This window comes from Homo sapiens, chromosome 1 (genome assembly GCF_000001405.40).
Source record: "Homo sapiens chromosome 1, GRCh38.p14 Primary Assembly".
NCBI classification, from domain to species: Eukaryota; Metazoa; Chordata; class Mammalia; order Primates; family Hominidae; genus Homo; species Homo sapiens.
Window position 1 is genome coordinate 11,996,841 of NC_000001.11, and position 13,666 is coordinate 12,010,506.

At 52.5% G+C, this 13,666-nt stretch overlaps 1 protein-coding gene across 8 annotated transcripts in view, besides 7 other annotated features; it reads left to right on the forward strand.

Moving 5' to 3' along the window:
* The window catches only part of MFN2 (mitofusin 2), a 33,065-nt gene that overhangs the window by 16,397 nt on the left and 3,002 nt on the right, over positions 1 to 13,666 (forward strand). For all 8 annotated transcript variants that reach the window (XM_047436154.1, XM_047436149.1, XM_005263543.4 and 5 more), the window contains 13 exons: positions 457 to 581; positions 1,930 to 2,038; positions 2,148 to 2,255; positions 4,561 to 4,714; positions 4,929 to 4,996; positions 5,142 to 5,263; positions 7,152 to 7,278; positions 7,669 to 7,773; positions 7,985 to 8,087; positions 8,871 to 9,091; positions 9,698 to 9,853; positions 10,213 to 10,409; positions 12,752 to 12,886. In XM_047436154.1, the coding sequence (XP_047292110.1) occupies positions 457 to 581; positions 1,930 to 2,038; positions 2,148 to 2,255; positions 4,561 to 4,714; positions 4,929 to 4,996; positions 5,142 to 5,263; positions 7,152 to 7,278; positions 7,669 to 7,773; positions 7,985 to 8,087; positions 8,871 to 9,091; positions 9,698 to 9,853; positions 10,213 to 10,409; positions 12,752 to 12,886 (1,730 nt within the window). The remainder of the gene's footprint in view (positions 1 to 456; positions 582 to 1,929; positions 2,039 to 2,147; positions 2,256 to 4,560; positions 4,715 to 4,928; positions 4,997 to 5,141; positions 5,264 to 7,151; positions 7,279 to 7,668; positions 7,774 to 7,984; positions 8,088 to 8,870; positions 9,092 to 9,697; positions 9,854 to 10,212; positions 10,410 to 12,751; positions 12,887 to 13,666) is intronic.
* Positions 3,958 to 4,887: an enhancer, noted in NCBI's record as "H3K27ac-H3K4me1 hESC enhancer chr1:12060855-12061784 (GRCh37/hg19 assembly coordinates)". NCBI's record gives its function as "activates a minimal SCP1, AML or CMV promoter by ChIP-STARR-seq in primed H9 embryonic stem cells {active_cell/tissue: H9 hESC(primed)}" and the evidence as "EXISTENCE:reporter gene assay evidence [ECO:0000049][PMID:30033119]".
* Positions 8,690 to 8,967: a silencer, noted in NCBI's record as "fragment chr1:12065587-12065864 (GRCh37/hg19 assembly coordinates)". NCBI's record gives its function as "represses an EF-1alpha promoter that drives an FKBP-Casp9 reporter gene in an ReSE screen in phorbol 12-myristate 13-acetate-treated (for megakaryocytic differentiation) K562 erythroleukemia cells {active_cell/tissue: K562(+PMA)}" and the evidence as "EXISTENCE:reporter gene assay evidence [ECO:0000049][PMID:32094911]".
* Positions 8,690 to 9,003: a biological region, named in NCBI's record as "ReSE screen-validated silencer GRCh37_chr1:12065587-12065864".
* Positions 8,924 to 9,003: an enhancer, noted in NCBI's record as "active region_184". NCBI's record gives its function as "activates an Ori minimal core promoter by ATAC-STARR-seq in GM12878 lymphoblastoid cells {active_cell/tissue: GM12878}" and the evidence as "EXISTENCE:reporter gene assay evidence [ECO:0000049][PMID:35858748]".
* Positions 9,014 to 9,113: an enhancer, noted in NCBI's record as "active region_185". NCBI's record gives its function as "activates an Ori minimal core promoter by ATAC-STARR-seq in GM12878 lymphoblastoid cells {active_cell/tissue: GM12878}" and the evidence as "EXISTENCE:reporter gene assay evidence [ECO:0000049][PMID:35858748]".
* Positions 11,067 to 11,732: an enhancer, noted in NCBI's record as "H3K27ac-H3K4me1 hESC enhancer chr1:12067964-12068629 (GRCh37/hg19 assembly coordinates)". NCBI's record gives its function as "activates a minimal SCP1, AML or CMV promoter by ChIP-STARR-seq in primed H9 embryonic stem cells {active_cell/tissue: H9 hESC(primed)}" and the evidence as "EXISTENCE:reporter gene assay evidence [ECO:0000049][PMID:30033119]".
* Positions 11,733 to 12,397: an enhancer, noted in NCBI's record as "H3K27ac-H3K4me1 hESC enhancer chr1:12068630-12069294 (GRCh37/hg19 assembly coordinates)". NCBI's record gives its function as "activates a minimal SCP1, AML or CMV promoter by ChIP-STARR-seq in primed H9 embryonic stem cells {active_cell/tissue: H9 hESC(primed)}" and the evidence as "EXISTENCE:reporter gene assay evidence [ECO:0000049][PMID:30033119]".

A 13,666-nucleotide genomic window follows, 5' to 3' on the forward strand; every position in this document is an offset into this window, starting at 1 on the left:
CAGCCTGGCCAACATGGTGAAACCCCATCTCTACTAAAAATACAAAAATTAGCTGGGCGTGGTGGTAGGCACCTGTAATCCCAGCTAGTCGCGAGGCTGAGGCAGGAGGACTGCTTGAACCCAGGAGGTGGAGGTTGTGGTGAGCTGAGATCACGCCACTGTACTCCAAACCTGGGTGACAGAGCGAGACTCCGTCTCAAAAAAAAAAAAAAAAAAAGAATCAATCAGTGCAGAACAGATGACTTTAGGGTGATATCCGGGAAAGAAGCTCAAAAGAGCAGTGAAGAAAGTGGGTTCTTATTGACAACTCCCAGCTGTTAACTTTTTATATGTGGAAGAAGAAAGGGTAGCAGATGGGCAGCATTCCCAGCCACTGTGCTGTGATGCAGCGGCACAGGAAATCTCCTGGCCTGGTGGTTCCTCCTCAGCCTCTTTCTTTCCTTCCTCTGCCATCAGACTGTGAACCAGCTGGCCCATGCCCTCCACCAGGACAAGCAGCTCCATGCCGGCAGCCTAGTGAGTGTGATGTGGCCCAACTCTAAGTGCCCACTTCTGAAGGATGACCTCGTTTTGATGGACAGGTAAGAGGGAGGTGCCCTCCTAGGAGGTCCAAACTGGAAGGCACCAGGTTTCCATTTCTGGATAATCTAGGCCAGGGTCCCTGGGCCCCATCCTTGCTCTGCTTAAGTATTACTACCTTTCAGATGGGCTCAACCAAATCCTCTGGCCTCTTGGCTTTCCTCTGGAGTCTGGTTACTATACCTATTTATCAGTACCCTGCAGATGTCCCAGGGATGGTCTGTAAAAGATAGGAGGGATGCTCAAAAGTTGGTGGGGGAGGTTCTCAATCTCAGCCCAGTGCCAGCATGTGTACTGGGGGTGGGGAGTTGTGGCGGAGTCAGAGGTGTATTTTATTTCCCTTGAAGAAACACTTTGCCTTGGCTTGGTGGACTGGTTATAACTATACCAACATGTACAGTATTGTAGTGTTTATCTGGACTCACATCAAGTCACAACTTCACCTTAATTGTATATCATCTTTTTTTTTTTTTTTTTTTTTTGAGACAGAGTCTTGCTCTGTCACCCAGGCTGGAGTGCAGTGGTGCAGTCTCGGCTCACTGCAACCTCCGCCTCCCGGGTTCAAGTGATTCTCCTGCCTCAGCCTCTGGAGTAGCTGGGATTACAGGTGCCCGCCACCATGCCTGGCTAAATTTTGTATTTTTAGTAGAGACGGGGTTTCACCATGTTGGCCAGGCTGGTCTTGAACTGCTGACCTCATGATCCGCCCACCTTAGCCTCCCAAAGTGCTGGGATTACGGGCATGAGCCACTGTGCCCCGCCTGGTATATCATCTTTAAAGTAGAATTACAAGTAATTCTGTTTTTATAAAAGCAATAGATATATGTGTTTAAAAACACTCATTTCTGCCAGGCACGGTGGCTCATGCCTGTAATCCTAGCACTTTGGGAAGCTGAGGCGGGCAGATCAGGAGGTCAAGAGATCGAGACCAGCCTGACCAACATGGTGAAACCCTGTCTCTACTAAAAATACAAAAAAATTAGCTGGGCATGGTGGTGCGTGCCTGTAGTGCCAGCTACTTGGGAGGCTGAGGCAGGAGGATCGCTTGAACCTGGGAGGCGGAGGTTGCAGTGAGCCGAGATCGTGCCATTGCACTCCAGCCCGGGCGACAGAGCAAGACTCTATATCCAAAAACAAAACAAAACAAAACAAAACACTCATTTCCAGGCAATCTGGAAGGATAGGAAATGGGAAGTAAAATCCGTTAATGAGGGCCAGGCCTGATTTCTCTCCCGTCCCTGGCTTTCTCCTCCATGACCTGCCTGCCTCACAAGTCCCAGGTCTGTTCTCAGCAGGAAGAATAGGGCTCCTGCTCTGCCTGATGATTTGGTTTACCCCTGTCACCTTTAGCCCTGGTATTGATGTCACCACAGAGCTGGACAGCTGGATTGACAAGTTTTGTCTGGATGCTGATGTGTTTGTGCTGGTGGCCAACTCAGAGTCCACCCTGATGCAGACGGTAACTCCTCCTCTGCCTTCTCCCAAGCTCCCAGCACCCCCTGGGCAGGCAGCTGATGGGGCCTTGGCTGTCAAGCTCCTGCTCCACCGAGGTCTTACCCTTTATCTAGGAAAAGCACTTCTTCCACAAGGTGAGTGAGCGTCTCTCCCGGCCAAACATCTTCATCCTGAACAACCGCTGGGATGCATCTGCCTCAGAGCCCGAGTACATGGAGGAGGTTCGTGCTTCTGTTTGGCAGTTTGGGGAATGCAACCCCGAGGGAGCACTGCCTGCCACTGGGGCCACTTCCTGCACCCCTGGATCTAGTGACTTCCCTGAATTAATTTTATTGCCAAAGAATTCTCCAAATACTCTTCTGTGGTATCTTCTGGTGGTCTTTCCCCTCTCCCATCCACTTTGCTGGATGCACCCCCTCTTCAAGCCACTCTCCCCTAGGCCTAAAAAGGATCCCTGCTGCATTAGTGCATCTTCAGTGCCGGTGCTCAGTTTGGTTTCTGAGGAATTAATACAGAACAGGCTCAGCTCTAGGGAGGCCTCTGGGAAAGAGGCTGGAAAGAGGAATGGAGAATAACTGGTTCTTACTGGTGACTTACAACTCTTAGCTATTTACTTATTTATTTAGAGACTGGGTTATGAGGCTGGCTAATTTTTGTATTTTTGGTAGAGACGGGGTTTTGTCATGTTGCCCACGCTGGTTTTGAACTCCTGGGCTCAGGTGATCCACCTGCCTCAGCCTCCCAAAGTGCTGGGATTACAGGCATGAGCCACCACGCCTGGCCTCACAACTCTTTAAATATGTGAAATGAAAGACAAAAGGGTAACAAACGGCATGGTGGTGCACACCTATAGGCTGAGAGAGGATCCCTTGAGAGTAGGAATTTGAAACCACCTTGGGCGACGTAGCAAAACGCCATCTCCAAAAAAATAAAGGGTAGGCCGGGCGCGGTGGCTCACGCCTGTAATCCCAGCACTTTGGGAGGCCGATGTGGGCGGATCACGAGGTCAGGAGATCGAGACCATCCTGGCTAACGTGGTGAAACCCCGTGTCTACTAAAAATACAAAAAATTAGCCGGGTGTGATGGTGGCAGGCGCCTGTAGTCCCAGCTACGCGGGAGGCTAAGGCAGGAGAACGGCGTGAACCCGGGAGGTGGAGCTTGCAGTGAGCTGAGATTGTGCCACTGTACTCCAGCCTGGGCAAGAGAGTGAGATTCCGTCTCACAAAAAATAATTAAACAAATAAAGGGTAATAAGATTGATAATATGGCAATATGGGATGATAAAACATGCAGTTGCAGTCAGTAGGCCAGAGTCCAAATTATTTATTTTTTTCGAGATGGAGTTTTGCTCTTGTCACCCAGGCTGGAGTGCAGTGGCACAATCTCGGCTCACTGCAACCTCCACCTCCAGGGTTCAAGCAATTCTGCCTCAGCCTCCCGAGTAGCTGGGATTACAGGCACCCGCCACCACACCTGGCTAATTTTTGTATTTTTAATAGAGATGGGGTTTCACCATGTTGGCCAGGCTGGTCTTGAACTCCTGACCTTAAGTGATCCGCCCGCCTCGGCCTCCCAAAGTGCTGGGATTACGGGCGTGAGCCACTGTGCCCGCTTGTGACTGACACTAGGCAGTGTGACTTTGTTAGCTTCCTTGACCCTTCTGGTAATCCAATTTCCTGGCCAGTGTGATGGTGTGATAAATAGACTTGTTGAGAGGATGAAATCTGTCAAAAACACCTGACACGTGGTAGGTGTCTACAAGAAGCTATTGTCACATTTTATCGGTAGAACCCCAGGATGTCAGAGCCAGGAGGGATGTTCTAGTGATGCCCACTCCTTTTATAAACAATGCCCCAGGAGGACACAGCTTGTCAGAGTATAGGTCCCAGATTTAGGTTTCTTGACCTCAGGGTTCCTTTCCTGCCAGGGCACCAAAATGAGGCACTATATAGGCTTAACAAGAGGCAGTCTAGGGCACGTTTAAGCATTTCTGCTTGTATATGCATAAAATATCTTTGGCACGCTCACTGCCAAGTAACCCCCACACGTTGGTCTGGGAAACTTGGTGGTGAGAGAGCAGAATAGTGGGGGACATTACACTGTGTATGTGTTTGTGCCTTTGGCTGTTGAGCCATGTGAATATATTGCCTATTCTTTTTTTTCCCTCACTCTGTCGCCCAGGCTGGAGTGCAGTGGTGCTATCTTGGCTCACTGCAACCTCCGCCTCCAGGTTCAAGTGATTCTCCTGCCTCAGCCTCCTGAGTAGCTGGGATTACAGGCGCCTGCCACCATGCCTGGCTAATTTTTTTGTATTTTTAGTAGAGACAGGGTTTCACCATGGTGGCCAGGCTGGTCTTGAACTCCCGACCTCAAGTGATCCACCTGCCTTGGCTTCCCAAAGTGCTGGGATTACAGGCGTCAGCCACCATGCCCAGCCTCTTATGACCTATTCTTTTAATAAAAGAGGCAGGTGGGGGCTGTGGGGCCACCTACACTCACTCTGGACACATTTGTTTGGGCTCCAGGTGCGGCGGCAGCACATGGAGCGTTGTACCAGCTTCCTGGTGGATGAGCTGGGCGTGGTGGATCGATCCCAGGCCGGGGACCGCATCTTCTTTGTGTCTGCTAAGGAGGTGCTCAACGCCAGGATTCAGAAAGCCCAGGGCATGCCTGAAGGAGGTAATGATGAGAACAGATGTCCTCCTTTTCTCTGATGTTTGAGACATTTTGTCTCGTGCTGAGGAGTCTGTCAGTAGAAAATCCTTCTGAGAAGGGGATGCTGAGAAGAGCAGAGAGGCTCTTGCTCTTTAGCCAGTGGCTTGGTTTCTGGGGATTTCATCGTTTTCCTCTGCTGCCAAGTTGTTTCTGGACTAATGCAGTACAATCCTCCTAGGGGGCGCTCTCGCAGAAGGCTTTCAAGTGAGGATGTTTGAGTTTCAGAATTTTGAGAGGAGATTTGAGGTGAGTCCTCTGATTCTGGTATCTGGCGATTCTGTGCCTCCCCAGCTCCCATTGGCTGTGTCCCTGGCAGTGAAAACCAGAGTCTGGCCCTTGGTTGTAGGCCCCTGGTGGCCCCCACCTCCCTCCGTGCCTCTGTGTGTTCCAGGAGTGCATCTCCCAGTCTGCAGTGAAGACCAAGTTTGAGCAGCACACGGTCCGGGCCAAGCAGATTGCAGAGGCGGTTCGACTCATCATGGACTCCCTGCACATGGCGGCTCGGGAGCAGCAGTAAGAGTCCAAGACTGCAGATAGGTGGAGAGAGCTGCCGAGACAAGGGTGCTCCACCCCTGCCTTGGGCAGTTAGGACACGCCTTGATGGCAGGGCTGAGTCTCTGGGCTCCCATCCAGAGCCCTTTCCCTGGCCACCAGACCATGTTAGAACCACATAGACAGCCTGGTGAGGAGGGCGGCTGGGTGCTTCATCACCCCACCTGGTCTGTGCAGCACGATTCCCTGTGTTGGAGGTCTTGGCCCATGCCCTGCTGAGCTCTGCAGCCATTCTCAGAGCCTGAACACATTTTTCAAAACAACATTCCAGCCAGGAGCAGTGACTCACACCTGTGATCTCAACACTTTGGGAGACCAAGGCAGGAGGACTGCTTGAGGCCAGGAGTCCAGCCCAGATAACATAGTGAGATCCCATCTCTACAAGAATTTTAAAAATCAGCTGGGTGTGGTGGCACACACCTGTAGTTCCAGCTACTTGGGAGGCTGAGGCAGGAGGATCACTGGAGCCCAGGAGTTCAGGGTTCCAGTGAGCTGTGATCGCACCACTGCACTCCAGCCTGGGCAACAGAGTGAGACCCTGTCACTAAAGAATAATATGAAAACACCTTGCTTCTATCACACAGAATTGACTTTCTCAGTTGTTTATGTTAAGTTAAAATTTTAAAAAGTTCAGTTCCCTTTTGATTCTTTTGCACTTGTCCCAGTGTCACTCTGCCCTGAGGCACCATAATCATGAATTTACATTGTTCTATCACCCAAACAGTACTTTTTACATAAATGCTGAGGAATATGTCAGGTTTTTACATGCTTCAGATGTACAGATGTGGCATCACACTGTCTGTCACTGTACCTGGCTTTGCTTTCTCAACATCGTTTTTCCCTCTATCCTTGTTAGTATGTGTAGTTTGTTTATGAATCGGAACTGCTGTAGTATATTCCATTGTGAATATGCCTCATTTTCCTATGGATGGAATTTTAGATTTTTTTTTTGCTATTGGAAACCCTACTGCAGTGGACATTTGTTCATGTGTCCCCTTGTGCACCTTTTTAAGAGTCTTCCTGGGGTGAGTTCCTAGGGGTGTGGCAATTCTGTTTTAGGGTACACGCGTTTCCAGTTTTAGTCAGTTTTCTTGATGCTCTTCAGAACAGCCGTACCCATTCATTGCATGACCAGTACTGTCCATAGGCCTTCCATTTCATCAGCCCTCACCAGAACTTCAGACCTGGTCATTTTTGCCAGGCCTTGGTAGAAAATAGTGCCTTTAAAAATTTCATTTACAACTGGGCATGGTGGCTCACGCCTGTAATCCCAACACTTTGGGAGGCCAAGGCGGATGGATCACCTGAGGTCAGGAGTTCAAGACCAGCCTGACCAACACGGAGAAACCCTGTCTCTGCTAAAAATACAAAATTAGCTGGGTGTGGTGGCGCATGCCTGTAATCCCAGCTACTCGGGAGGCTGAAGCAGGAGAATCGCTTGAACCCAGGAAGTGGAGGTTGCAGTGAGTGGAGATCGTGCCATTGCACTCCAGCCTGGGCAACAAGAGTGAAACTCCATCTCAAAAAAAAAAAAAAAATCATTTCTGTGATTACTAGTGAGGTTGAGCTTTTTTCCCTATATTAATTGGCAGAATTTGTTTAAACCCCCTTAAAGCGCCCTCCCTGTTTTGTGCCCACCACCTGACCCACATCGAAGACTGAAGAGTGCATGGTTGGCTGCAGGGTCCTCTTCTTACCTGGGAAGGGGAAGGCCATGCCCCTGGGTGCGTGTGTGCAGCCCTGCCAGGCAAGATAGCGGGCAGGGCGGCGTGGGATTTCTGGCATCCCCTCTTGCTCCTCTGCTTAGTCAGACAGGAACATGGATTTCTCACCAGTACTCTGCTTTCAGGGTTTACTGCGAGGAAATGCGTGAAGAGCGGCAAGACCGACTGAAATTTATTGACAAACAGCTGGAGCTCTTGGCTCAAGACTATAAGCTGCGAATTAAGCAGATTACGGAGGAAGTGGAGAGGCAGGTGAGAAATGAGGAGGAGGCATTCTGGGAAGATTTGGACTCCGAGTAGAGTCCAGAAGAAAGCAGACCTCCTCCTCTTAGGGACTTCTCAGCCTTTCAGAAGAAAGTTGTGGCCCTGTTTCAAGAATACAGAGCTGCCGTTTGGGTTCCATTGTCGGGTTGTGTGATGCTGGGCATGTTCCCTTTCCTCTGGACCTCCACAGATCATGTGGGCGTTTGATCAGCCAGTTTCCCAGACCCTCTCACTTCAGAGGCTTTAATTCCATAGAGGAGCTGAGGAGGCTGCTGGTTTGAGAGGAAGGATGTGCCATCTGCTAGGATCTCTCCTGGTGCTGCAGGAGTGAACTTTGGTCTTCCTTGATACTTAACAGTGTGCTTCCTTTTGCTGTAGGTGTCGACTGCAATGGCCGAGGAGATCAGGCGCCTCTCTGTACTGGTGGACGATTACCAGATGGACTTCCACCCTTCTCCAGTAGTCCTCAAGGTTTATAAGAATGTGAGTCATGGAGCAACAGGTCCTCTTGGCAGGAGGCCCCCAAAAGTGATTCAACCCCTGTTGGTCTGGGTCAGGGCCCCCCAGCAGTGACAGTAGAAGCCACAGAGACAAGGCCCAGGCTTCCGTCAGCCTTCTGGGGTCACCTGGTGGATGTGGCCTGAAGGGAATTTTGATGGACATGCTTCTCTTAACTTCCCTCTTCTGGTGGCAGGAGCTGCACCGCCACATAGAGGAAGGACTGGGTCGAAACATGTCTGACCGCTGCTCCACGGCCATCACCAACTCCCTGCAGACCATGCAGCAGGACATGATAGGTTAGTGCCCATGGGGAACTGGGCAGCTGTGGCCCTGGGCTGCCCAAAGATCAGATGCGGAGGCCAAGCTAAAGAAATCAGGACTTTCCTTATCTGTCACTTTTCATGATGATTCAACTCGATACCTTCAGGTTCTGGGTACATGTTCTGAACTCATTCTTGTTTGCTTTTTGAGACAGAGTCGCACTCCGTAACCCAGGCTGGAGTGCAGTGGCATGATCTTGGCTCACTGCAACCTCTGCCACCGAGGTTCAAGCGATTCTTCTGCTCCAGCGTCCCGAGTAGCTGCGACTACAGGCGTGACCACCACACCTGGCTAATTTTTTTGTATTTTTAGTAGAGATGGGGTTTTGCCACGTTGGCCAGGCTGGTCTCTAACTCCTGACCTCAAGTGATCTATCTGCCTTGGCCTTCCAAAGTGCTAGGATTACAGGCATGAGCCACCGGCCCTGGCCTTGTGAACTCATTCTGTACACAGGGTTGGGGAGCCCATCTTGTTCTACTACATGGGTCTACCCTAGGCTGAGAATTGGGCCTGCTCCTTTAAGTCCACGTGAGGCATAAGTGTTAGCAGTATGGCATCTGAGTCCACACTTGCCTGGGAGAGCTGGCCTCAAGTGAGGCATGCTCAGTCTCACGGGCCAACTTGACTGGGGTGTGGTTCCCAGGCAAAGCTGTTCAGCATCCCTGGCAGTAGCTGGTAGAGCCCTGTCTCCAAGGCTTGGTGCCGCTGTGGTGCAGGGCTGAGCTGATAAGCTTTTCCTCCATTTCTCTTCCTGACAGATGGCTTGAAACCCCTCCTTCCTGTGTCTGTGCGGAGTCAGATAGACATGCTGGTCCCACGCCAGTGCTTCTCCCTCAACTATGACCTAAACTGTGACAAGCTGTGTGCTGACTTCCAGGAAGACATTGAGTTCCATTTCTCTCTCGGATGGACCATGCTGGTGAATAGGTTCCTGGGCCCCAAGAACAGCCGTCGGGCCTTGATGGGCTACAATGACCAGGCAAGCAAAGTTCCTCACCTCAAGGGCATTGTGGGGGGTCAGTCTGTACCCTGCCTCCAGACACGGGAACCATTCTAAAACGGGGGTTCCCTAAGGTCAGCAGCTGTGGTGGTGTGCCCCACCACACAGTACACCACAGACAGAATTTTTGCTACTGATTGACCTGGATTTGTTCTAAGCAGTGATATTTGTGAAATGACAGATGCTAGTATTTTTCTCTAATACACATTAAAGTAAGTATGTAACTATTAAAAATAGACGACTTTAAAAATAACCACCTACATACGACTATTTTAAAGTTCAGATTTTAAAAACATTCATCTCTAAACCACTTGAGTTGTCACATGTACTGCCCTCTGTACACATCCCACACTCGGGGAAGCTGCCAGGCGGGTCAGGATGGCTCCTGCTCACATTTTGCACGTCCCGTGGTGCTCACCTGAGGGTCTCCTCTGCTACATCTGAAGCTAGTTGTCCCCTTTTTGCCTTTTGGAAATTGAAGAGCCACTCTGTGTCCCTGTTCCCCAGACTAGGGCAACACTGAGGGTTCACGTGAATGAGAGACTCAATACGTCCCCCTCACCCCTCTCATGTTTCTCTCCTCAGGTCCAGCGTCCCATCCCTCTGACGCCAGCCAACCCCAGCATGCCCCCACTGCCACAGGGCTCGCTCACCCAGGAGGAGTTCATGGTTTCCATGGTTACCGGCCTGGCCTCCTTGACATCCAGGACCTCCATGGGCATTCTTGTTGTTGGAGGAGTGGTCAGTGACCAGTTCTGCTCGGGAAGGTGGGGGCGGAGGGCAGGTGGGCGGGGCCTGAGGGCTAGGTTCCTGCTGTGGCCCCTGCATTGGGCCACACTCCACAGTCCACTGCATACTTTCTCCTCTGTGATTGCATGGGGAGCGCTTACTCCCTCACCAAGTTTCCCTCACTTCCTGCTGGACATGGTCCCAGACCTTCTGGCCTCGGTGGGATCAAAGGAGACATTGAAAGAGGAACTCAGAGTAGAAACATGAAGGCTCCTTGGCTGGGGCCCTTCAGATGGCCCTGGTAGTGATGGGCCCCAGAGGAGGGTGGGCCACAGAGAGGCTGCACTCCAGGCTGACCATGTGCTCTGCAGGTGTGGAAGGCAGTGGGCTGGCGGCTCATTGCCCTCTCCTTTGGGCTCTATGGCCTCCTCTACGTCTATGAGCGTCTGACCTGGACCACCAAGGCCAAGGAGAGGGCCTTCAAGCGCCAGTTTGTGGAGCATGCCAGCGAGAAGCTGCAGCTTGTCATCAGCTACACTGGCTCCAACTGCAGCCACCAAGTCCAGCAGTGAGTGGCCCTGTCGGACCCCAGCAGGGGACTTCCTTTAGGCAGGGTCAGCCCCATCTCCCTTCCCCATCTCTCTTCCCACGTGGCCTGGAAGCCACTGGGTCCTAAGCATCGTAGACCCTGGGCCTTCAGGTGTGCAGGGCCAGCTTTGAGGCCAGTCATGGGGAGAGGGGTCTCCCAGGGACACTTTGCGTCTTGGGCTGGGACGGGGTAGGCCTCTGGGCCCCTTGGTGAGGAAGAAATGGGAAGGCAAGAGATATTCCTAGTAGGAGTTTTAGAGGTTGCCTTGAAGAGCTTGGGCTGTGGATGTAGTTTTGAAGTTTTTGAACCCAGCCTGATCTTCGTGCACATCTTAGGTCAGGTGGGAATCTATTGCCTAATCTGGGGTGGTGGGGATGAATATCCTCGCTTCCTTTTTTTTATTGTGTGTGGCAGACCCTTTGCTCTAGACATTTTGCACCTAATTATTTCTCTGACTCTTGGAGGTAGATGTTGTCTTATAGCCATCTCCTTTTTCTTTCTTTCTTTTTTTTTTAATTGATCATTCTTGGGTGTTTTGGCAGGGTCATAGGACAATAGTGGAGGGAAGGTCAGCAGATAAACAAGTGAACAAAGGTCTCTGGTTTTCCTAGGCAGAGGACCCTGGGGCCTTCCGCAGTGTTTGTGTCCCTGGGTACTTGAGATTAGGGAGTGGTGATGACTCTTGACAAGCATGCTGCCTTCAAGCATCTGTTTAACAAAGCACACCTTGCACCGCCCTTAATCCATTTAACCCTGAGTGGACACAGCACATGTTTCAGAGAGCACCAGGTTGGGGGTAAGGTCATAGATCAACAGCATCCCAAGGCAGAAGAATTTTTCTTAGTACAGAACAAAATGGAGTCTCCTATGTCTACTTCTTTCTACACAGACACAGCAACAATCTGATTTCTCTATCTTTTCCCCACATTTCCCCCTTTTCTATTCGACAAAACCGCCATCGTCACCATGGCCCGTTCTCAATGAGCTGTTGGGTACACCTCCCAGACGGGGTGGTGGCCGGGCAGAGGGGCTCCTCACTTCCCAGAAGGGGTGGTTGGGCAGAGGCGCCCCCCACCTCCCGGATGGGGCGGCGGCCGGGCGGAGGCGCCCCCACCTCCCTCCCGGACGGGGTGGCTGGCCGGGCGGGGGCTGACCCCCCCCACCTCCCTCCCGGACGGGGCGGCTGGCCGGGCGGGGACTGACCCCCCACCTCCCGGACGGGGCGGCTGCTAGGCGGAGACGCTTACTTCCCAGACGGGGGCGGCTGCCTGGCGGAGGGGCTCCTCACTTCTCAGACGGGGCGGCTGCCGGGCAGAGACGCTCCTCACCTCCTAGACGGGGTTGTGGCTGGGCAGAGGCGCTCCTCACATCCCAGACGGGGTGGTGGGGCAGAGGCGCTCCCCACTTCCTAGATGGGATGGCGGCCGGGAAGAGGTGCTCCTCACTTCCCAGAGTGGGCAGCCGGGCAGAGGGGCTCCTCACATCCCAGACGATGGGCGGCCAGGCAGAGACGCTCCTCACTTCTCAGACGGGGTGGCGGCCGGGCAGAGGCTGCAATCTCGGCACTTTGGGAGGCCAAGGCAGGCGGCTGGGAGGTGGAGGTTGTAGCGAGCTGAGATCATGCCACTGCCTGGGCAACATTGAGCACTGAGTGAACGAGACTCCATCTGCAATCCCGGCACCTCGGGAGGCCGAGGCTGGCAGATCACTGCCGGTTAGGAGCTGGAGACCAGCGCGGCCAACACAGCGAAACCCCATCTCCACCAAAAAAATACGAAAACCAGTCAGGCGTGGCGGCGCGCGCCTGCAGTCGCAGGCACTGGGCAGGTTGAGGCAGGAGAATCAGGCAGGGAGGTTGCAGTGAGCAGAGATGGCGGCAGTACAGTCCAGCTTCGGCTCGGCATCAGAGGGAGACCGTGGAAAGAGAGGGAGAGGGAGACCGTGGGGAGAGGGAGAGGGAGCGGGAGAGGGAGAGGGCCATCTCCTTTTTCAAAATCAAGAAACTGAGATTTGAAAAATAGTGACGTGTCCTCTGCTACTCGGCTGATGAGCAGCAGAGTCAGGATCTCTTGTGCCCAAACCAGGGTGCACAGCTCTGTGCTGTTGCTTCTCAGGCCGTGGTGATGCTGAGTGTGTTTGGTTGTTATGATTATTCAGTCTCAGCAGGGTGTAGGAGATTCTGCCAAACCAGGCCTGGCTCAGGGCAGAGCTGCTGGCAGGGATATAGACAGGCCCAGCTGCTCCCTACTGTGGGTGGGCTAAGCCACCAGTGGCATCTTGCTCCACACACCCCAACTGGGTCCCTTCTCTCTCCTCCCCAGGGAACTGTCTGGGACCTTTGCTCATCTGTGTCAGCAAGTTGACGTCACCCGGGAGAACCTGGAGCAGGAAATTGCCGCCATGAACAAGAAAATTGAGGTTCTTGACTCACTTCAGAGCAAAGCAAAGCTGCTCAGGTGAGGCTGGCCCGTGTGGCCAAAGGTTAGGGCTCCAGGGTGCAGCCCAGGCACACTGGGGCTCAGCTGCTGGGCTTGCGTCTTGGGTGTGGACACAAATTTTTCTGGTGGGGATTTAGCTCATTCGTGTTAGATGTGTACCATGGGCTGGGCACGGTGGCTGACGCCTATAATCCCAGCACTTTGGGAGGCTGAGGCAGGTAGATCACCTGAGGTCAGGAGTTTGAGACTAGCCTGACCAACATGGTGAAACCCCGTCTCTACTAAAAATACAAAGATTAGCTGGTCGTGGTGGTGTGTGCTTGTAATCCCAGCCACTCGACAGGCTGAGGCAGGAGAATGGCTTGAACCCAGAAGGCGGAGGTTGCAGTGAGCCGAGATTATGCCATTGCACTCCAGCCTGGGCGACAAGAGCAAAACTCTGTCTCAAAAAGAAAAAAAAAATGGATGTGTACCACGTACCTCATGGATGCCAGATGGTGCTGGAGGCTCAACAAGACACAGCGTCGCTGCCTTCAAGGCACTTGCAGTTGAAGGCATGATGGCATCACAGTACTGCGAGACTGCAGTTCACAGCGCCCTGTGCTGAACCGCAGGGCCTACAGCGCTTAACATGTGCTATTTCACTCAGTCTTCCCTATTTCTCCATTTTCTACATAGAAATGTTGGGGAACTTGTCTGGCATCTCAAAAAATGGCCAGGCTAGGAGGGGAGCCCAGGTGTACTTGGCTCCAGCAGCCCCCGCACTCTGATTCTCCTTACCTGCCACTCTTTGGACCC